General features: G+C 45.7%; 1 protein-coding gene across 1 annotated transcript in view, besides 1 other annotated feature; it reads right to left on the bottom strand.

Annotated features, from left to right (window-relative positions):
* GABBR2 (gamma-aminobutyric acid type B receptor subunit 2) overlaps window positions 1-23,855 on the bottom strand; it is a 420,827-nt gene that overhangs the window by 321,087 nt on the left and 75,885 nt on the right. The gene's annotated exons all lie outside the window — the stretch shown is intronic.
* Window positions 1,259-2,251: an enhancer, noted in NCBI's record as "H3K27ac-H3K4me1 hESC enhancer chr9:101372736-101373728 (GRCh37/hg19 assembly coordinates)". NCBI's record gives its function as "activates a minimal SCP1, AML or CMV promoter by ChIP-STARR-seq in primed H9 embryonic stem cells {active_cell/tissue: H9 hESC(primed)}" and the evidence as "EXISTENCE:reporter gene assay evidence [ECO:0000049][PMID:30033119]".

Here is a 23,855-nt window from a genome sequence, read left to right on the forward strand (position 1 = left end):
CATTTCTTATAAAACCATTGTTCCATCTCTTACAGACTGGCATCCCAGACAGCCTGAATTCTGCCCCCACTCCCCCTTCCAGCCCCTCTGTCACCCACCTCAGGTGCCCTACATCACAGTCATCTTGCAGTTGGCATTTCCCAAGCAGAATTTATCTTTTCCCATTTCTGTGCCTTTGCTCCTCACCTCCCTGCAGTTTCTCGCACCTCGAATGCCCTTACCCTTCCATCTATGAAATCCAAAGCATGCCCATATTTCAAGTGAACGTCGGGGAGGAGTGGGAATGGTCTCCTGACATTTCATTGGGTGATTTTTCCACATAACAGAGCACCTAACCCCTCCCAGCTATAACCCATCTGGGTGGGCTGAGCCCTAAGCCCTAAGCAATGAGTGGCAAAACTGGTTGAAGGGCAGGGCTCCAAGGTGGGTTTTTAGCAGTGAGCAAGGCATGGTTCAGGGGAGATGGTGCTCAGGGCCTCCAGCTTTCGGCCCCCTCAGAAGGGTGGGGCTGCTGGGAGTGGCCTGGGGCAGAGCTGGGCTCCAGGCTCCTTGGGTGCCAGTGGCACAGCCCTTACATCCTCAAAGTCTTTGTGATGCCCCGTCTGCTACCCTACTCAGTTTGTGTGGACGCTGAGAGCTCCAAACCCAGGCTCAGGGCCAGGACACTGGGCAGTGGCACTAGTGGTTCTGAAGAGGGCTTGCCATCGAAGCACTGGGAGGCTGTTTCCACAAGCCAAAAGGGCAGAGGGGCCATGGCCAAGATCAGAAACCCAGACACGGAGGCTGCACTTGGCAATGAAGGGGACACAGAAGCACGTGGATGTCAGGGGCTGTGGCTCACCATGCCCCAAACCAAACTCCTGTCCTCCCTGCGCCCCTCTCCCAGATGCCTCATTTCAGTGAACAGCACCCATCCTCCATCCGCCCCGCCTAGGAGGGCAGTGCAGCCTGCCAAGCGCTCCAGAAACTGCTGCCTGGACTCAACTCCCAGTTGGTGGCTTCCTGGTGGCGTGACAGTGGGCCCATTTAACCTCTCTGAGCCTCAGTTTCCTGCCTATAAAGAGAGGATGACAATAGTGCCTATTTCATGAGGTTTAAAATGAGTCAACCCATCTGGAGCAGTCAGGACACAGAGCCTGGCCCACAGCCTGCACTACGTGAGGGCTCACTTCTATAGTCAGGTCCTTAGCACTGCGCTGGCTGAAAGGCAGCCTGCAAAAATATGCATCCATGCCCTAACTCCTGGAACTGTGAATGCTGCCTTATATGGTAAAAGAGGGAATATTACCTTACATGGCAAAAATGTGATTTAGTGAAGGTTCTTGAGAGGAGGAGCTTATCCTGTAATATTCAGGTAGGCTATAAATCTCATGAGTGAGGCAGAAATAGACTAGACAGGCAGAAGAGAGAAGACAATGTGACCAGGGAGGTAGAGATTGGAACCCTGCAGACCCAAGTCAGGGAATGCCAACAGTCACCAAAAGCAGGGAGAGGCACAAAAGGATTGGTTTTCCCCCAGGGCCTCCAGAGAGACCCTGGCCCTGCCAAGACCTTGATTTCAGACTTCTGGCCTCTAGGACTGTGAGAAAAAAAAAAAACGTGTGCTGTTTTCAGCCACCCTGTTTGTGGCAATTTGTTCTGGCAGCCACAGGAAGCAAATACAAGGTGCCTCCTTAATCCCAGTTACTCAGGAAGCTGAGGCAGGAGAATTGCTTGAGCCCGGGAGGCAAAGGTTGAGTGAGCAGAGATTGCACCATTGCACTCCAGCCTGGGTGAAAGAATGAGGCTCTGTCTCAAACAAAAACGAACAAACAAAAAAAACAAGGTGCCTCCTTGACATCGCTCTCCCCACCTTCCACTGCTTTCTCAAGTCTCCCTCTGTCCAGGGAGGTCATTCCTCCCCGCTGCCTACAGAACCACCATCCTGTCCTCTCCCAACTGGGCTACTTCCACCCAACAATGGGCTCCTCAGCCCCCCGGAGATAAAGATTGGGATAAAGATCAATGCCACCCCCTGCCTCCTGCCCTGTAAGGCCCTCTGTGGCATGGCCGCTGCCATTTCCACTGCCTACCTTGTCCCTTGCTCACCCTGGTGTCTTAGGCTTCACTCACAGTCCCTTGTAGCTGCATGTCTCCTTCAGCATGGAGCCACCACACTTACTGTCACCCCATCCCATCCCTGCCCTAACTATTTCCTACTTGAGCTTCTCCAACAATGAAAACTGCTATGGATTCCTTCATCACATCCCAAGTGCACCCGAGGAATGAATGAATGAATGAATGAATGAATGAATGAATGAAATTGGAAGATTCCTATATCCCAGGCCTAGCTAACTGGACAAGGTATGTAAACCCAAGCCATAGGCTAGCTGCTGACCCATAACCTTGTAGGCCCAGGAAAAATGAGCTGGCAAGGAAGAGATTTTCTCTCTTGAAAATCTGGATTTGGAAATGTTAAGAAAACGAGAAAGTGCTCTTCAGAGCACACACCACTTTCTTAGAAAAGCCTCCCCAATTCTGGGTAGGTTCCCCAGCCACGCACACTCCCACCACCGGGTACCTTGCCCTCGTGGCTGTGGTCACACTACATCTGTCTGCCTCACTAGACCTCACGTTCCATGGCAGCCTTGTTCAGCACTGCTTCCCTGATGCGCCCAAGGAGTGAATGAATGAATGAATGGCAATTGACCGAGGAGCCATGTGAGTTCATCTCACAACACAGCTGGAGGCTACACCAGGAGAATGATTCATTCCAGAATCAAGGAGGTGGAGAACAGGCCTGCTCAGTTTCTGGTTGGTCTATCCAAACCCATCTTTGAGGCTCTATCTGGGCCCTGCCCAGGAAGAGAGAAGGGACCACCTGCAGATTGTCCCCAGAGTCAGCCAGTCTGGAGAGAGGACAGCCAATTATATCCCACGAGTCTTGGCTGCAGAGCCTGTAACTGTTCAGCCAGTAGAAGGGCCCCCTCAGGCCCAGCATGGCCTGCACAGCTCTGAGGGGCTCTCAGAGGCAGAGAGCACAGATGCAGTGTGTTTGGTTCCAGAGGAAAGGACCAGAACTAGGATATGGGGGCTGGGGCAGAAAGCTGCAGGGAGACAGGCACCAGCTGGAGAATAACGGCATTTTTTTCAAAGCCAGGGCTATGCTTGGATGCAACAGAAACGTGGCCGGTCAGCCAGCCCTGGAGCTGTCCAGGTGTTAGATGCTCACCTGTGTGACAGGCTGAGGAGGGATTCAAGCACTAGAGGGCCGCTTCTAACCCAGAGAGTCTGCACTTTTGTTCTCACTATCACAGTTATGTACATTCTAATGTGCTGTCACAGCCTCATCTGTTTCCTGGAGAATGTGACAAGCACTGTTTTATGAAGAAAGTAAACAAAAGAATCCCAGCCAAGGTGGTATCGCAAATTAAATTCACATTTTGAGGTCTCCTCCTCCTTGCTGTAATAAACACACAGCAATGATAGCTGAAATACAAAAATAGAAAATTTAAAGACATAGCATTACTCAAAAATAAAATTCTCAGGGGGGAAAAAACCACAACATGGTAAGTGGAGATGAGGCTGCAGGCTTGATGGGCTCTGAGTGCAATACAGACAGAGGTGCCTGGCATTGAGAATTCTCTGGGGTAACAGAGACTCATAGCACGCCCAAGTAAAGGCGGGGGCCAGAGCCACAATCAATGCAAAAGAGAACTATAGTCAAGCTCACTATTTGAAGCAAAGGGTTGGAGCAGAGCAGGTAGAGAAGGGCTTCCTCTGCTCTAGAGGAAAGCTGGGATGAAGTTCTACCAACTGCTACCTGCTGCCTCAGCCCACAGGAAGCTGCACGCTCTGGATGGCAGGACAAGGTGGAAAACTGTGACAGATGGAATGCAAACATGGCCAGTTATTCACCCCTTCCTATACCCATAGCCTTTGGAATGACTTTGACTCTCCTACCATCAAAAGGTGAGTTGGCACCCATGACCACCAGCTGATGCCTATAATTCCAACACCTTGGGAGGCCAAGGTGAGAGGATCACTTGAAGTCATGAGTTCGAGACCAGCCTGGGCAACATAATGAGACCCAATCTCTATAAACATTTTTAAAATTTAGCCAGGCATGGTGGTACACACCTGTAGTCCCAGCTAATCAGGAGGCTGAGGCACAAGAATCGCGTGAGCCCAGTAGATTGCGGTTACAGTGAGCCGTGATTGTACCACTGCACTCCAGCCTTGGTGACGGAGCAAGACACTGTCTCAGGGGAAGAAAAAAAAAAAAAGGGTGGAGTCTACTTTCTACCTTTTGAATCTGGGCTGGCCTTGTGACTTGATGTGGCCAAAAGAATATGATAAAAGCGAGAGGAAGCCTGTTCCAGGCATAGGCCTCAAGAGTTACCAGAAAAAGACAGTTTCTAAGGAGTCAATAACTGGATGGACAGCAGACATCTCTTCAGTAACAAGAGACCCAAAAGACAAATTCTGCAGGGAAGTAACTGCATGCCTGGAATTCTGAACTCTGCTAAAGCAGTATTCAAAAGTGAGAGGAAAACAGAGACATTTTAAGACATCCAAATATTAAGAGCGTTGACCATCCTTGGCACTCACCATATGCGCTAAGTACAACTTGAGAATGAACTCAGCCAGAAGAAAAGGGAACTCAGAAGAAGGAATAGGGCACAAAAAACAGTGGCGAGCAAAAGCATTAGGAAAATGTGTTAGCAAAGTTAATGAACTACTAACTGTAACACGAAAATAATAACAATTAAAATTTTTGGAACCAAAATTCTAGGAAACAATGATAGAACAGGTATTAGTGGGTTGTGATGCATGATTACAATTCTCATCAGATTCAGTAAAGGAGAATGATATTGAATAGCAATAGATTTGAGTAGAAAAAAAGAAATTAATTTAGGATATATGCTAAAGTGTTAAGGATATAACCACATCAGCAGAGGAAAAAGGGGGAGTGGCAGAAGGAACACTCAAAATAAGAGAGTAGAAATATATCACTAATCACAATAAATATAAACCAATTAAAACCACCTATTAAAAGATAAACTAGGCTGGGCGCGGTGGCTCACGCCTGTAATCCCAGCACTTTGGGAGGCCAAGGCAGGTGGATCACCTGAAGTCAGAAGTTCGAGACCAGCCTGGTCAACATGGTGAAATCCCACCTCTACTGATAATACAAAAATTAGCTGGGCATTGTGGTGCACGCCTGTAAATCCCAGCTACTTGGGAAGCTGAGGCAGGAGAATTGCTTGACCCTGGGAGGCAGAGGTTGAGGTGAGCCGAGGTTGCGCCAATGCACTCCAGCCTGGGCAACAAGATTGAAACGGTGTCTCAAAAAAATAAATTAATTAATTAAGTAAATAAAAGACAAATTAAAATGAGTAAAACAAAATGGGTTATAGAATGTTATATATAGTATGATGTCTACATAAAGCTTAAAAATACTATAGATTGTTTATGGACATGTACATCTGCAGTAAGATATAACAATAGAGATGAGAAACATAGAACTAACTTCTAGATAGCTGTTGTTTCTGTGGAGGGAAGAAGGGGGAAAGGAGAATGGAGAAGGATAAAAAGATGCTTTGGGGAGGGAGGGAGGGAGAGAGACAGACATGCATGAAGATCAACCCTGCAGAACTTGATCACAAATGGAGACTGTAAACTCAATTCATCCAGGAGCTGGCTCTTTTTAACACAGGTCTCAGTGATGCTATTGCCCAGAAACAGACTTTCAGGGTATATTAACCTTCCCTCTGCCTGTTGTTCTCTCAACCTGGAACAGCTTCTCTGTCCTGTAGCCTTTTCAATAAAAATCCTTCATCTCCCTCTGTTCAGCTGACACACCACTCTGATGGATCCTTCCATGAGAAGAAATGCCCCCACTCAGGGACAACCTCAGGTCAGCCCTGGGCTGGCTGGCCACCTCTGCCTCTCTCACTTTATAGGCTCCTGAGGCAGGATGCCACCCAACTCACCCCTGAATCACCAGCCCCTAGCAGGATGCGAGACACACTAGAGCACACGGTCAATGCAGATGGTCTGGATGTCTCAGCTGTAGACCCCAGAGGCACAGAGAGTCCTCCTGGTGTGAGATTTACTGAGGAAAGGAGGAAGGACCACAAGCCTATCTCAGCACAGTAACAGGTGGCATTCACAGCAGACCAGTGAAAAGGCATCAGCTGTTCCACAGAAGTGAAGTTCTACATAATAAAGCGTATATCATTAAGTGCTCCAACTTAAGCCATGTTTGAAAGACTAATTTTTAAAATGCAATTTAGACATGGCTGCAGGTTTTAGACATGCCCTTATTGTCCAAAATTCTTTCTCCTCCCCACCCCCAGGATATTTTGAAATTGCTAAGGTAACGTGCTTCCAGAAGAGTCCAACAATACAGTCATGGATAAAGCAGGAGGTGCCAAGTTGCTCCCCACTTCCCTTGCCTCCAATCTCACCCTCCAGGAATAATCGGTGTCGACCCCCTGCTCTCAAAAAACACATGGTGCTGTACATAGCCCAGATCCTTTCTTCCAGGCCACTCAGTGTGTGCCCAGAACTGTGCTGGACTCCTTGATACATATTTAATTTCACCCTCTAAACAGCTCTGTGTGGGAGGGAGGGTCATTGCTCCCAGAACAAAAGCCACAGTCCAGAATGTGACTCCAGAGCCTGGCTGCCTGCCTCTCAATCCCAGTTCTGTCATCTATGAACTAGGTGAGCTTGTGCAAGTTTGCACCTGTTTGTGCCTCAACTGCTTAGTGCTAATAAGTAGTACTTCCTTCATGGTAAATTGTGAGAATTAAATTCACACATGCAAAGAAATAAGAACAGTGTCTGACACGTAGAAAGCTGATAAATTACTATTTCCATCTTATAGATAAGGAAACTGAGATTCAGAGAGGTTAAATGACTTAGCAAATCCAAACAACGGTTAAGAATTTCAAGCCATGGACCTGCCAGAAACACATGTGGTCCCCAGGGAAGATACAGGGTATGGGGTGTTACACTGCCCTCCATCCTAATTTTCCAACATGCTTTTCAAATCCTCAGGGTCTTTGACATTTCTTCCCTTTCTCACCCTCCGGGTCAGGCAGTAAGCTGCCATTTCTTGCTGCTGGCTATCAACCCTACACTTGTTCCTAATTGGTTGACTTGCTGTAGTCTGGAAACCAAAGATAATACAACTGGTAAGAAAAGTACACAACACAAGTGCAGCTAGGAACTGAGAGAAGCCCGAAGCAGAGCTCCCAGACAAACCGAATGAGCCTTAAGAAAAGTTGGCCGGATGCGGTGCCTCACGCCTGTAATCCCAACACTTTGGGAGGCCGAGGTAGGCAGATCATTTGAGGTCAGGAGTTCAATACCAGCCTGGCCAACATGGTGAAACCCCTTCTCTACTAAAAATACAAAAATTAGCTGGGCATGGTGGTGCATGCCCGTAATTCCTGCTACTCGGGAGGCTGAGGCAGGAGAATCGCTTGAACCCAGGAGGAGGAGGTGGCAGTAGGCCAAGAATGCGCCACTGCACTCCAGTCTGAGTGACAGTGAGACTCCGTCTCAAAAAAAAAAAAAGAAAGAAAAGTCTTCTACTTTGGCAGTTTAGAGATCCACAGAGTCAGCTGGGTTTTGGATAGATGAAGTGACTGGATCTGTGTTCTCTGGATAAGTGAGGTATTGATGTATGAATATATTTTCTACATTTTAAAACTAAAGTTTCTGATTTAGGCATTTGTTAATTTCTCTGCCCTCAAAATGCAGAACCATGAATTGCAATCCCTTGGACAGTGTATTTCACTTTAAATATCTACATTCCAGGCTTCCCCAGGTACTGCATGTCAGTTCTAACCACTCTCCTCCATTCACATTCTGAAGGTATAAATGAGACCTAGAATTTTCCTGGGTCCCTGCTGCATTGCATTTAAATAACTTCCCAATCCACCACGATAAATTCTCTTTATGATGGATGATCACAAGTTTCTGTCAGATGTGCGTGTGAATGGATGTTAAACTATGCCACAAACTAAACATGCACTGGGTGCCGGCTCTGGGTTGGGTGCTCAGGGGTACCAAGGAAAGCCAGACCCAGCTGCTCCCCAAAGGAGGTGAGGATCTGGAGGGGTGAGGAAATGGGGCCCAGAGAAAGGAAAGGCAGCATGAGAAGTTAAGGGAGAGAATCCTAAAAGGAGTTGAGGATGTCTAGACAAGGAGACGCAAATGCAGCCTGGGAGAGCAGGGACACTGAATGACTGGGAGCCCCAAGTACCTCTAAGGTTTCTGATTTTATTCTCATAGTCACATTTTTGTGTTTGTTGGAATCATAATGAAAGCATACGCATTAGAGACATTGCTGTGGACCACACAAAAATACCAAGATTCAGCAGAAGGAATGACAAGGGAGATGGAACCTCCTGCACAGTCAGAGAACTTGGGTCCCTAAAGGGATTTCTTTGGCCTTGATTCTCTGATTAGATCCTCTCCAGTCACGATCCTGAGAATCCTAACCACTCCTCTAGTGAATGCAGGAGACCTAGGCCATTTGTTGGCACACAAAAAAAAGCTTCACGAAACCCAACACTAAAGTCACAGCAGAGACAAGTTCACTGTGGAGTCAGAACAAGACCACAGGCAGTGATGGAAGAATCATGGCCAGAGTGGACTTACAGCCAGACAGATCTGCACCCAGTGATGCCCCCACTACCTGCAGTCTGTATGACCTGGAGCAAGTCCCCTTACCACTCCGAGCCTCCGTTTCCTCATCTATTAAAATGGGATGACATCTATCCAATTGGCTTCTCTGTGAGGATAAAAAATGGGTACAGAAAAAGCTTAGCCCAGTGCCTGGTCTATAGAAAGTGCTCAAAAAAGAGTAGCTGTGGTTCTTATTCTTGCCATCATGAAGAAACGTGATTTTACCCACATCAGAGGCCTGTGTCCCCATGGCTGTCAGGCTCAGGGCTAACCGATCCTGCAGCTCCAGTTCTCTGGTCTCAGACTTCATGAAGGGCATCCACCTTTATTCCACAAGATCCCTCTAAATGGCTTAATCATAGGCACCCTCGGAAGGGGAACCACACTTGGCATAATTACTAGACTTGTGCCCTTTTTGTAATCTTGACTTTGTGGGGATTGTTCGATCACAATAGTTGGGGGTTTGTGCGCGGTATTTAATTAGGCAGATGAAAGCATGTTAGGATGAAACAATAGTATCTCTAATTTAATGACATGTTCTGCATCTTACCCTGCAGCAATGACAAAAGATGCCTCCATGCAAAGGAAAAAAAAAGGTCTGCTGCATCTCTCTCTCTCTCTCTCTCTCTCTCTCTCTCTCTGTCTCTCTGACTCTTTCTGTCTCTTTCTCTGAATATTTCTGTCTATTTCTCTCTCTCTCTCTGTCTATCTCTGTCACTGGGTATGCTTCTATCTCTCTTTCTGTCTCCCTCTCTGTCTCTGTGAGTGCTTCTCTCAGTGTGTCTCTCTCTGTCTCTTGCTCCTCTCTCTCCAGTTGACATCTGCCTAACATGGCTACCACCTCCCCAGCAGCCCTGGGGAACCAGCCTTTGCTAAGTGCTCCTCACTCCCTCCTTGATGTAATCATGACAGAAAGACTCCAGAAGAGACAGGCCCAGAGGAGAAAGTGAGGCACCAGTGTGACTGTCTGGGGCTTCTGGTCCCAACTCTGTGACCTAAGGCAAGTCACTCCCCTTCTTGCCAATGATCTCTTCTATAAACTGACAGCTTTAGTTTAGGCCTGGCCTGACTTTTCTTTTAAAAAATAGTTATAAAAAAGGAAAAAGAGAAAACATTCAATAAGAACATAAGTTGGTGGGGAAAAGTGAAGTGAAGTGTTCTAAGATCTTTATACTGCCTGTAATGAGCATACATATATTAAGTTTAAAATTTTAGAAGTTATATATTTTCAATTTTGAGGGTAAATATTAAAAGAATAGAAACATTATAACTCCCTAGCAAAAGGAAAACAGAAATAATAAAAATAGACAAACCCAAAAGAAGGTAATAAAAGAAACCTGTAAGAAGCAAGGCAAATATAAGCACAAAATAAAATTTTAACCCCCCACCCCTGCCCCAGAAAAAATTTATTAGGCCTTGTGCCCATGGAACCAAGATTTGAGGGAGATTTATAAAATTAAACATAGTTTAAGAAGGGATAATTAAACATAATAAAAACAAGATCATTAAGTACAGCCCAGAAAGAGAGATTTGCAGGCAGGTAACAGGATGATCTCAGAGGTCTTGTCTAGCTCTAAAATTCTATTATTTTAATTCTGGGCTGTAAAATGCCAACATTTACCCAAGTCAATAAACATCAAGAGACTGATATTTCATCGGAATCCAAGTCTGATTTTTCAATATTGATTTTTGTGAAGTCAATTTTGGTTAAAGTGCCTTTTTAAATTGGTGCTCCTGTGGTGTCAAATGTCAACATTTATTTTTCCAGAACTCTCCTTCCTGTGGGGACTCTGGTCAGCAAATGAAGCTTTTGATACTTGGAGTTCCTTGTTTTTCTTGCTTCTGATTGAGGGCCCTGATTAATAGTGTATGATGTTTTTCACTGAGCCTTTAGGGTTTCCATTGGGATATAAAAAGTAATTTCTGTATGCACCTCCATCATGAAAAAGCCAGGTGAGGAAGGGTCGCAGTGTGGGGGAGAAAGGAGGGTTCATCTGTGGTCTAGCTGAGCTTCCCAAGCTTCACGCATGCCTGCATATGAACCCCAGCTCACCACTCACCTGCTGTGTGGCCTTGTGCAGGTCACTTACCCTCTCTGTGCTGTGTTGGGTCATTGGCAAAATGGACTTAACACCTGTCTTACAGAGAGGCTGTGAGAAACCCGTGAGATAGTACATGTGGATGTCTGGCCCAGAGCCTGGCCCACAGGAGGCAGTCAGCAAATGCCAATTCTCCCAAACCCCTTGATTTATTTTCTCTGTACTGCTACATTTTATTTTTTCAAATCTACAGTAAAGCTGAAGGGATAGTACAATTAATACTCATATACCTGTTGTCTTTTCACCAATCACTAATATTTTCTCTCTTTCTCTCTCTCTCTCTCTCTCTCCCCGCTCCCAGCCCTGAATTATTTGTGTGTAGCTTGCAAAGATAAGACCACCTCACCTCTAATATCAGGGATTATCACCTAACGTTAAGGACCGTCTCCTACATACATTACCACTCTACACCTTTAAAAAGAAATATTTTAAAATAATCTTATTTAAAATAAAATCAATACTTTAAATTTCCCAGTTGTTCCAAAAATGTATTTATGGGTTGTTTTAAATCCTAGATTTAAAAAGAAATTCACACATTACATTTGGTTGTCAATGTCTCTTTGCCAACCCACCCTTGATTTTTTAAATGGTATTCCTCCAAAGCAAGCAGGGGACAAAAGAATAGCTGATAACTGGGTAGCAGAAGAGGTAAGAAGGAACTCTGGGAATTAGGTTTTGAATCTTCTTTGAGGCATTGGGTCCGGGTAACCTTGAGCTTCATGCTTCCTTTCTGCAGATGTTTTCATTATCTGTAATTGACGGCTTGCCCTGGCCCATCTCAGCACCTATTATTGCTCCGGTGGAGGGAGTTGAGGCTCAGAGGCTTTTGGAGTCACACAGAGCCCAGTCTGAATCCCACTTCGCTATCTGCGGGGCCCTCAGCAAACTACCTTCCACCTCTGAGTCTCAGTTTCCTTAGCTACAAAATGGGTGCACTAGTATTTGTGCCTACCTCCTAAAGCCATCATGAGAATTAAACATGTGAAACACTAGGCACAACGGCAGGCACAGCAATGGCTCAGTGGGGGAAAAAAAAGCTATTATTGTTATTAATGTTGCAGGAATTATAGACTCTACAGTCAAAGCTCTTATCTGCGCAGCAATTACCCTTGGCTTATAAAGAGCCCTTCACAATTTATGAAGCACTTTCTCCATTATCTCCTGTTGAAGGCATGGCAGTCCAGGGAAGTGGGCCACGTGGGGACAATTATCCCCACCTTAGAGAGGGGACTCAAGGCTCAGAGAGGTTGAACAGCTTGGCCGAGGTTACAGCTGGTTACAGAAGGAACCAGGACTTGCGGAGTGAAGCAGGGGCACCACTGCCATCCCACCCTCCAGTTCCAAGTTCTTGTTCTGTATCCATGGCATCCACATCGTGTGGTTCTCCATCCATTCTTGCCTTGAGAACACATATCCTGTCTTATTTCAGTCTGGACAGACTTTGTGACTCTGCTTCTCAGAGCCCCTGTCCCCTACCACAGATGGAATATGATTCCTCCACCTCGTCAGTCAGCTAGTGTTCACAGAGCGCAAAACAGAAAGGCATGCTGTGAACTGCGACGCATTCTGCAGACTGAAAGCAGCCACTGCTGCTATCAGACTCTGTGGGCCTACTAAGGGCTCCTTCAGGAAAAACATGCTCCTTTACAACGGGAGCCAAATAATTAGCCCAGAAAATTAAGGTCCCTTCTCCCAGGCCTCATTTCTGAATCATAAACTGCAAGAATCAAAGTCATTTTGAAAAATGGCTTTTTATTTGTCATGATTTTCATTTCCTCAAAGAGAAGGCATATTGTACTAGGCAAAAATCAATGCTTCCCTGTAATAATGTGCCTACAGATATCCGGTGCTGAAAGCCTCATGCAGAAGGAATGGAAGTGTATCTATACAATATATCAGTCACATCAAGAATCTGAAAATCAATTCTTTATGGGCTTGCATGAAAAATGCACAATTTTTTAATCAAAATACAAAACAACTGACTATAAGATTTTAAGACCGAAAAAAAAATGTGTCTTGCCACCAAAAAAAATGGTCTTTAGGCATCCCAACTAAAAATGCATTCTTTTAATGACCCAAATATTATAATTATCAGAGCATCCTCTACTTAAGAACCTGGTGACTCTTCCTTCATCCCACCTGCAACTCACATATATTTTATTTTATTTTATTTTACTTTATTTGGTGTTTTGCTTTGTTTTTTGAGACAGGGTCTTGCTCTGTCACCCAGGATGGAGTGCAGTGGTGTCATCACAGTTCATTGCAGTCTCAACCTCCCAGGCTAAATGGATCCTTCCACCTCAGCCTCCTGATTAGCTGGGACTATAGGCGCACATTGCTACACCTGGCTAATTTTTGTATTTTTTTGTAGGGATGGGGCGTCACCATGTTGCCCAGGCTGGTCTTGAACTCCTGGACTGAAGCGATCCTCCTGTCTCGACCTCCCAAAGTGCTAACGCCCATATTTTATAACTACCAAACAGAAACCCCCAGTCATGATAGAAAAGAAGGAAAGCAATAAATGTTTGTTCAGCTAGCTATGTACTGCAGTCTAGGCAAGTTTCAAGAGAAGCAAGAGTGATTAAGACCCACACCTGTCCTCAGGATGCTCAGAGTCAGACTGTATGTCAGACCATGGCACTCCTCAGCTCAAAACCTTCCTGTGGTGCCCTGTCTCGCTTGGAGTCAAAGCCAAAGTCCTTGCAGTGCCCCCCCAGCCCCATGTGGCCTGCCCTGGGGTGGTACTCTTTGATGTCACCTCTTTTTCTTTTCACAGTGGTGAGGCAGGTACTTGTATTAATTTCCTGTGGCAGCTGAGACAAATCACTGCAAACTTAGTGGCTTCAATAACACAGAGACAAACACAGAAGAGTCTTAGGGCAATGGAGATACTCCATACAATTCTGTAATGGTGGCTATGTATCATTACGTATTTGTCCAAACCCACAGAATGTACAACACTATGGACTCTGGGTGATGACGCTGTGTCAATGTCGGTTCATCGACTGGAACAAATGGACCACTCTGGTGGGGATGTTGATAATGGGGGAGGCTGTGCATGTGTGGGAGGCAAAGAGTATGTGGGAAATTTCCCTACTTTCCTCTCATTTTTGTTGTGAACATAAAACTGCTCTAAAAATTTATTTTTAAAATAAAGTCTTCAGGCGGGGCGCGGTGGCTCATGCCTGTAATCCCAGCACTTTGGGAGGCCGAGGCAGTTTGATTGCTTGAATGCAGGAGTTCAAGACCAGCCTGGGCAACACGGTAAAACCCTGTCTCTACAAAAAATACAAAAATTAGCTGGGGGTGGTGGCCCATGCCTGTAATCAATCCCAACTACTTGGGAGGCTGAGGTCGGAGGATCACTTGAGCCTGGGAGGCAGAGGTTACAGTGAGCTGAGGTTGTGCCACTGCACTCCAGCCTGTGCAACAGAGTAAGACCCTGTCTCAAAAATAAATAAATAAAATATTTTTAAAAAACATACAAAAACGCATAATTGTCTTACAGTTTTGAAGGCCAGAATCCAAAATGGATCTCACTGGGCTAAAATCCAGTTGTCAGCAGGGCAGCATTCCTTCTACAGCCACTAAGGAAGAACCCATTCTCTCGCATTTCCTACCTTCTAGAGGCCACCTGTAATCCTTGGCTCATGGCCCCTTCCTCCATTTTCAAAGCCAGCAGTGCAGCACCTTCTAATCTCTCTTTGACCCGTCTTCTGTTGTCACAGCTCCTTCTCTGCCTCTGACCCATCTGCCTCCCTTCTAAGATCCCTGTGTTACTTTCAGACCCACCTGGATAATCCAGGATAGTCTCCCATCTCTAGATCCTTAACTTAATCCCATCTGTCCTATGTAGAAAGTAAGATAGCCGCAGGTTCTGCCATGAGAACATGGACATCTCTGGGGGCCATTTTTCTGCCTACCACAGTCTTCTTCATATCCATTTTTCAGATGGGGAACCTGAGGCACAGGGCAGCTCGGTAACTTCTCAGGTCTCACATGGGGCAAGTGGCTGAGCTGGGATTCAAAGGCACAGTCAAACTGCAGAGCCCAAGCCCTCCGTCTGTCCTGTGAGGTCACCTGGCAGGTGCAGAGATGTTTGAGCCTCTCCATTTGGCTGGAGAGCCAAGGACAGTAAGGAGGGCAAGGCAAGGGAGGTCAATGGCAGTGGTCCTGGGCACTGTGGAGGGGCTGGACCAGGTCCTGAGGGGTGTGCAATGTGAGCCCCACGAAGATCTGGCCTCCCCTTGGACTCACAGGCAGCGTGCACAGGAAGGCAAGCAGCAGACAGGGCCAGGGCCTACAAGTCTCAGCACAAGGATGCAGGCCAAGCAGACACCATGACCTCACAGCCTCAGTGGGTCCTGTGGACCTGCCTAGAGAACTTGGCCCCCATTGGGATGCTGGCATCTCACCCCCGTTCCATGAGAGGTGGATATATTTTGGCCAGAACTGTGGGAGAGAAAAACTTCAATTATCCTAATTGTTCAAATACTGTCTTCCAGTAGAAAAGAAATGAGATGTTAAACAAAAGGTGGGCGGGTGGTTGTAACAAAGACAGAGAGACTTAGGGTAGGAGGGAGAGTAGGGAGGAAGAGAGTCTCTCGGGAAGAGAGAGGAAGAGGAGGCAGCAAGGAGCTGCTGGTAGCAGCCAAGGAAGCAAGCTGCAGGCCGAGCAGACACCTTGACCTCATGGTCTGTGATGGTCTCTGTGGACCCGCCTAAGGAACTTGGCCTGCACAGGATGCGGAGGAAGCTGGGAGCTGCAGAACGCTGAGGCCGGCTGCTGGCAAATGCACTGAGAATCAGTGGTGGGCCAGGTAGGAGCCCCGAGCCCGGGGCAGACAGGGAGGCAGCTTGCATCAATTTACTGTGGGACCTTGAGCAAAGGCTTTTCTCTCTCTGGACCTCAGTTTCCCCATGTGAATTTGTGGAGAGGAGGGATCAGCCTGTTGCTCCACAGGGCTTCCTGTAGTGCAGAACCTCCCCTCCATCACCTGCCCTGGTGTTAACTGCCAGTAAGCCCTCCTCCCAGCCTCCAGAGGCTTTGCTGGCCACCTACACTCAGGAAGCACAGCCCAAGCCCAGCCAGGCTACTGTCTGGGAACCTGGAACCAGAGCCTGTACATACTCCTGGATGATGTGTCAAGGCTGCAGCAGAGGGCCCCACAAAGGGGGCTATAACCCAGCCCATGCCCCAGTTGCCACACGGCATGCCCACCCAAAGGCACGCTTGTGCTCCCTCCAGGCTGCTCCACCCCTGCCCTACTCCCACATTTACTTCCACTCACTTGCCCAGGGAAGGAAGCTCCTGGTCACTGATGCCCGGCTCAGGGCTCAGGACCATCCAGGAGACACCACCATCCACACCATTGCCCTTCTGTGGAAACTGTTCCCTGTCCTCATACCCAGCGTGGCCCAGGCCCCTGAGAGAAGGCAGCCTGCTGCCCTGAGAGCTGTGTCAGGAGACCTTGGACAGAGAGAATGAGAACTTGGGAAGAAACTGCCTCTGCCACTTCCTCCTGAGGGGTCTTGGAAAAGACCCTGAGCCTCTTCTCTGGGAGGGGCTATGATATCCCCTCGCCAGGCTGCTGAGAGTGTCAAATGAGACAACAGGGTGACCGTCCCCTACAAACTGGAAGACTCTACACAGAGGTAGTGTGGTTAGGATCACTCTTCATCAAGGACTCACACACAGCTATGATGTCAGAGGTTCCCTCCGTCTTTAAGACAGACCTAAGATGAATCAAATCCATATTCTCCTGTCCCCACAGGCCAGTCACAGTCTGGAGGGAATGCATTTAGGCAACTCTCTCCTTTCATCCTCAGAGCACCTCAAGAAGCAGGGACTGGTTCCTGCCCATTTCACAGATGAAGAAACTGAGACTCAGGGAGGCGAAGGGAGCCAAGGAGCACACAATATGTAGTGATCTGGATTCACACCAAGTGCACCTGCCTTCAAAGCCTGACGTACCTTAAACAGGGGACAGAGCTTAAGACAGGGAAGTCAGGGCTCAGGAATGTGCATAGGGAGGCCCTGGGAGAACAATAGAGGGGAGAGCTCCCTGACCGGGAGAAGAAGCACTGCAGCCGTGGGACCCACCTGGGTAGAGATTCGGAAGTGAACCTTGAAAACATCATGCTGAGTGAAAGAGGCTGTCGCAAAGGACCATATATTGTATAATTTCATTTATAGGAAACGTCCAGAATAGGTTAATCCAAAGAGACAGAAAGTAGATTGGCTGTTGCCAGGGGTTGGGTGGATTGGAGGAAAATGGGGAGTGACTGCCAATGGCTCCAGGGTTTCTTTCTGGGGTGATTAAAATGTTCTAAACAGATTGTGGTGATGGTTGCACAACTCTGTGAATATATCAAAAACACTTAGATTACACATTTTAAATGGGTGAATTGTATGTTAGGTGAATTAAATTAAGATTTCAGAAAAGCTGTTATTTTTTTAAAAAGGATAAGAAAATGAGTTGGACCTCTTGTTTAGCTAAAGGTGAAATCGTAGAGAGGTAGTGAAGAGCCTGGGTCAAATCCTGATCTACTGCTTGCTCTCTGTGTGATCCTGGGCAAGTCACTTAACTCCATGCCTCAGTTTCTGTACAACGGGGATAACAATACTTATATCTCTTAGGACTATGAAGTTGGAGTTAGATTATGTAAATAGCCGTACTTGAAAAGGCTTGGCTCATTATAAGTTCTAGATGAGTGCTTGCTGTTATTTTTATTATCTGAAGCAACACCAAGCATTTGCATGTTGTTTATGTAAAGTTGCATCCTCTGCTCTGCGATGCAGTGGCCTAAAATGCTTCCTCTTTGGAGGAAGGATTCATTCAGTCAGTCAACGAGCACTAATTTCTGCCTCTGTCTTGAACTTCTCTTCCAGATGCTCCTGGAGGGCTGAACCAGCACAGAAGTTACAAGGAAGTGATTTCTAAGACACCATTGACATCATCCTGCTTCAGGAATAAGTGAGAACATGAAATGCCTAGGTTTGAAACCGCCTTTCTTGAGTGAGGACTGCAAGGAGAACCTTGGATGCTTTTCAGATGCTGCCTGTGTTTCATGGTCTCTGAGATTTGCTTCCTAAACAAGATGAGGCACCTGAGCCATAAGGGTGTGGGATCAGCTTCACGGAGGCCAGCCTCAGCCACTGGTGGGCCGATTTGGGACAGTGACCCCCAATGTCAGATGTCCACATGATACTCACAGCCCACCCGGACTCTGGGACTTTCTCTGTGAATAAGCTAGTGAGACCGGAGGCCAAGCAGATGGCAAGCTGTGGCCCTCTCCATCATCTTCCTCGGAGGCCAAATTCCTCCTGAGAAAGGGTGCCTGGACCACCAGAAGCTTGGTAGGGAGAATAGGAGCCATGGACCCAGGAAACAGGCTACAGCTTCAAGGGTTGAGGCACTGTGTATGAGATGGAGAGAGTTGAGACAAGCTATTCCCCAGCCTCTTGTTCATTCTTCCGGCTAATGCAGGAATCATCGGGACATCATGTGAAAGACTGCATTCCAGAGGGCTTTGTAAGCTGTCCCCACTCGGGTCTGTTAGTCTCATTAGGAAAATCTGACCAACAGTGTAAGTGGTAGAACAGAGAAAGGCTATGTTGTGAAGTAGTGATCGCCCTGTCACACAGAAGTGTCCACACAGGGCAGGTGACAGATGAGCACCCATCAGGGCGTTCTGAAGCGGGTCCGTGTGCTGGCTGATCTGTGAAGCCCTATGGCCATTCTCCTCGGTGTCTGTCCCCCAAGCCTGAAGCTCAGTCAATGACAAAAGGCAGAAACCAAATGAGCTGGAAGGGGCCCCAGAGGCCATCTAGTCTAGCGCCTCTATTTGACCAAGGAAAAAACTGATTTTACAGATGAGAAGTTAACTTGCCCAAGGTCACGCAGCTCTTCAGGGCAGAGCCTGGAGTCTTAAATTGGCGTGTTCAATTGGGCCTGAAGTTGGACATAGGCAGCCAGACTTTCTGCTGAAAAAAACAGTTTCAAGACTTCATGTTCCAATTGTAGCTAAATGGCTTTTAATCAGATAAGGACACATCTCAAAAAGCACAGAAAATTTTAGAAAAATGTAGCTTTCCCTTAAGCACCGTTACAAGTAGCAATTGAAAAGTTACATGACATAAGATACAACAAGAATAACTTACGTGTGTTTAAAAGTATCCCACTTAGGCCAACAATAAACCGTTTACATTTTAGCTCATTTATCAGATGAGGAGGGTAAAGACCAGGGAAGCTTCAGCGAAGCAAGAACTAGAAGCTTGTGCTGACTCCAAAGCCACTCCTCCAAACAAAAGGTTTTTGCAATGACCCCAGGTATCCTAAAGTCATATGTTATCAAGAAATATATCAGTTTTAAAAGGCAGGGTAGCTAATTATCTAAGCAGCTTGCTGGCTACAAACGTCCCCTGAATTTCACTTTCTGAAGTGACAGCCTTCCCTGGGCTTTTGCTGGGATTTTGTCAGCTCCGGGGCACCATTTGGCTGCAAAACACTTGAGCTTGCTGTGAAATTGCCCATTTTAGATGGAAACACCTTTTTCTTTCTCTTTTATATAAAAAGTATATCCATGGCTTTTTTTCAAAGCTTTTCTATTAGCTACGCTGCTGTACTTGACTTTTCCTCAGAGAAAACACTTTGCTGTCTGTTGTCTGTGTGATCCAAACCACACCTGGAAATGGAACTTTCTCACCCCTCACACACCACCCTGCCTCTAACAACCTCCTGCCAACTCATTCTCGAGATGTTTTTCCCTAAGAGGAAGGGCAAGGGTTTGCTATATGATGGAGTGTGTGTCCCCCTCCAGCCAGCTTCTCTTACCTGTGGATCCCCCAGCTTCCTCCCGTGAAGCTGAAAAGGCCACGTGCAAACATGCACGCGCGTGCACCTACCCCTACAGGGGCTGCAGCTCTGGGGCCATTCTGTCCTTCCCCACACTGTGTCCTTTATAGGCCTTGCTTTTATCAGAGAAGGGCTTGCCTTCTTGATCAATGTTAAACTTGTTACCAAATTTGAAACGAAGTCTAAGTCAGAACCAAAGGTGAAATCCTCAAAGCTTCAGATTCTAAAAAACCATTCTGGGTAACGAAAGGGATCATTCTGACACACACCTGGTACAAAACACTAAAGTTAATCTAAAAAGAGACTGAAGAGTTGAGGTTTAATGAGCAAAGGAATTCATTTGTACTTAATATTGATGTATTTTTGGATATGCTCAAAAATGATGTGCCTCTTTATTTACAAAGGGAAAAATAGAGATTATCCAGGTTTATGCTACTATTTTAATAAAAAAGGATAATTTTCATAGAAAATACCACAAGTGATCATATGATAAGCCAAAAATGTCTTCTCCTTATTTATACCTAAGTTGATTCTAATCATTCAGCCTAAGCAAGCACATTTGCTGCTGGGAGCTCCTTAAATTACAAGCCATTTTCTTTTCCTCAAGACTAGATTATAAAAACCAAGTCTGAAAGGAATGGCCATCCTTTCACTCCTACCTCCAATAGCTTCAACATTCTCTGCCCACAGATATTAACTGGATATAGTAGACATTGATGGTCTGCCACGTAGCATTCAACTCCTTCTTACATTTTAGATAGACTTGATTTTCATTTGGGGTCACCCCTTCCCCATGTACATATGAAAGCCATGCTGTATGGAATACTGGTGCCTTGGTCCAAACCAATTGGCTCACCCCTTTTTTCTTGATTGTGATTGGTTCAGGTGTAAGCCAATGAGAACATACAACTCCCAGAAGGATGTGCTTGGAAAATTTGGGACAATGAACTGTCAAGCAAAGGTCACTGAAGTTATTAAAGAGAGTTGCATTATGACGATCCAGATATTTTTGCCTTTCTGAGCCCCTTCCCTCCTCCATTTTAATACTGCACCGGTATTAAGATGAATATATTAATATTACATCAAAACATTTTCTCCAATCTACAAGGTTTTTTTTCTTTTCTTCTTATTTTAAAATAAATTAAAACACTTTTGTGGGCTTCTAAAAGTATTCATGTGCCTCATGAATAACTGAGCCCTATTTCAGGATTGAGTTGACTCCAAATCCCACCCTACCTATGGGCTTCTCATTGTGAGCCCATGAATTTCTGTATGGTTTATGTCACTCTGCATGGCTCTTCTATTACTGACAGCCAAGGGTATCCAGATACCCTGGAACAACAGACACAAAGGATCACTGGGTGAGAAGCATCCAGAGAAGGCAGCCAAGCCCAAATCTGAAATCAGTCAAACCCTGACTTAAATCCCCCTGGCACTAGTCTTTCTGGGCCTTAATTTTCACATCTGTAAAGTGGAGATAACACCACCTAATAGGCAAGATCACTCAATGAGAGATGAGGTTGGCAGGGAGGTGGTGTTATTCACTACATGATGGTACTTAATGTCATGATCTTGCTTTCATCATTATGACTGAGAAGTGGCTGTGGATACCTGGCATCAGGTGACTGACACAGGCATTGTGAGGACTACAGGAGCTTGAGCAGTGGCCCAAAGACCTACTGAGGCAGGACAGACTTAATTTTCACCTCCTTTCATGTGCTTTTCCTTAGCTCAGCAGCAAGAGGGTAGAGAAATGATCAAAACACAGATAGCCAAAAGAGAAAAGAGAAGCAAAGAGAATTTGTTTAGAAAATTGGGAGACCACTAGGAATTGAGAAACTAAATTTTCAAGCCAGCAAAGACCACCCAATAAAGGAAAGGAGTCAGTGTGAGAGGCCTCAAGTCTCTGTTAAAAAAATGAAAAAGGAGAGTTGAATAGGATGGCTTTTAAGAGGACACCAACCTACCAATACTTTTAAACTATAGAGCTGCACCGTCCAACATTGGCAGCCACTAGCCACAGGTCACTATTATTTAAACTTAAATTAATTCAAATCAAATTTAATTTATCAATTCAGTTCCTTCGTTATTACACTAACCCCATTTCAAGTACTCACTAGCCACACGTGGCTGGTGGCTACCATTTGAGACAGCACAGATAGAGAACGGTGCCATTATCACAGGAATTTCTACTGCATAGCGCTGCTGGGGAGTGAAGAAAACATAACGAAATGCTATCTTAATATAAAAACTACCAGTGATACCCAACAAAATCAGACTAATTCTTGACTCAGAAATATCTCATGAACTTCCAAAATTAGACTGAGTTGATTTTCAACTCAGAAAACACCTCATGAACTTCAGTGGTGTGTCTATACACTTAAGAAAAAAGCAGCACAGGGTACAAAGTCCCAAAATCTGGATTCAGGCCTTGACTATCACACTTCCTGCCAGTGTGACCCTGGAAAAGATAACTAACCTTCCTAAGCCTCAGTTTCCTCATCTGTAAAGTGATAATAAAACTTTCTATCTTATTTGCTGCTATGATCACATTAGCTAACTGATGCATTCAACTAACATTTATTGAGGGTCTGCTATGTGCCAGCAACTATTTATTCAACACATTGAGGATAAAACAGGTAATGAATGGAACAGACAGATATCTCTGCCCTCACAGAGCTTACATTCTGAAAGATTTTAGCACATGTTAGCCATCAATCCTGATAATGTTAACAGTCTGACAATACTATGATTCATACTTGAATTTAATAGAGACTCAGTCCACTCTCAATTAGTTAGAATGTAATTTCAATTTTAAAGTAATCGAGTCCTCTAACTCATCTCCCTCCCAAATACAAATCTCAGCTAAAAGTTCTTTAAACTTATGTATGGCTTTGGATTACATCATAAAACCAAACACTTCACTATGACATTTGAATCTAATTCAAGAAAAAGATCTGATTTCAGCAGCTTTTAGTCCAGACTTTAGAAAAAATTAATTATGCATGCATTCAACTAGCAATGAGCAAACTTGATAATTTAGGCAGTTTAGCAATTGGATTGAAATTTTACAGCTAATTTAAAGTACTCTACACTACTGATTTCAGACTTGAGGTTATGAAGCTGAATTAGCCTGGACAAGAGCAAATACTCAGCACTTTCAGCACAAATTGCCTTGACTGGTTTGTAGGAAGCGAAATGACTGCTCACACCCAGCCCCAATTGTCTAGACACTAAGATGCCCCAGGGTGGTATGTATGCCAGGTAGCGTTTGTTCTGTGTTCTCTGAAGCAAGACTGGGTATCATTTATCCTTGTCTTCCCCAGGACCCTTCACAAATGAAAGAAGTATGTCCTAGTGGAAGGGTCACGGTGAGTTATAGCTGTGTGACTTTAGGCAAGCTCCTTAACCTCTCTAAGCCTCCAGTTTCCTCATCTGCAAAATGGAAATAATAACAATACCTCCCAGGTAGTTGTGAAGAAGTAGAGATAATGTATGTAAAATGTCTGGCCCAAACTAGGTGCTCAATAAATGGAGTTCCTTGCCTTATTCAGTGTGGCAGTTTTAAAACATGGCACCAAAACTCTTAAACATTCCTCCCCTTGAGTGGTGGGTTCTGTGCCCCCTCCTCCTGGACCTGAGCAGACTGTGATGGCTCTGATCAATATTGAGTATGGTGAGAGTGACACTATGGAACCTCTAAGACAAGGTTTCATAAAGTCTGTGCAGCTGCTTCCTGGCTGTCGTGGGATTCTGTCTCAAAACCCGGCCATCATGCTGGAGAAGCCAAAACCATGTGGAAAGGCTGTGGTCAGGTCATCTAGTCAACAGTCTCAGCTAAGCTCAGCCTTTGAGTCAACTCAGCCCATCAGGGTTTCCAACTGAGGGCCCAGTCATCATGGAGCAGGATAAGCCATCCCTGCTGTGGTCTGAATTTCTGATCCACAAAATCCTTGAGCATGATAAAATGGTTGCTTTTACCACTAAGTTTGGGATGGTTTGTTAAACAGCAATAAGTAACTGGAACACTCAGTAGGTTTCATTCGTTCACTCAACATTCACTGGTGCCTTCTAAGAGCAAAGAAGTGCAGTGAGCTCTGGAGAGCCTCAGGAAGTACAGGCTAGTGGAGAAGTATAAAAGTAAATAGCTAGTGGTGTGCTGGTAAATGTGTAATAAACAGCTGGGGTTTCGGGACACCCTAGGTTGTAGTGT

This window comes from Homo sapiens, chromosome 9, assembly GCF_000001405.40.
Source record: "Homo sapiens chromosome 9, GRCh38.p14 Primary Assembly".
Lineage (NCBI taxonomy): Eukaryota > Metazoa > Chordata > Mammalia > Primates > Hominidae > Homo > Homo sapiens.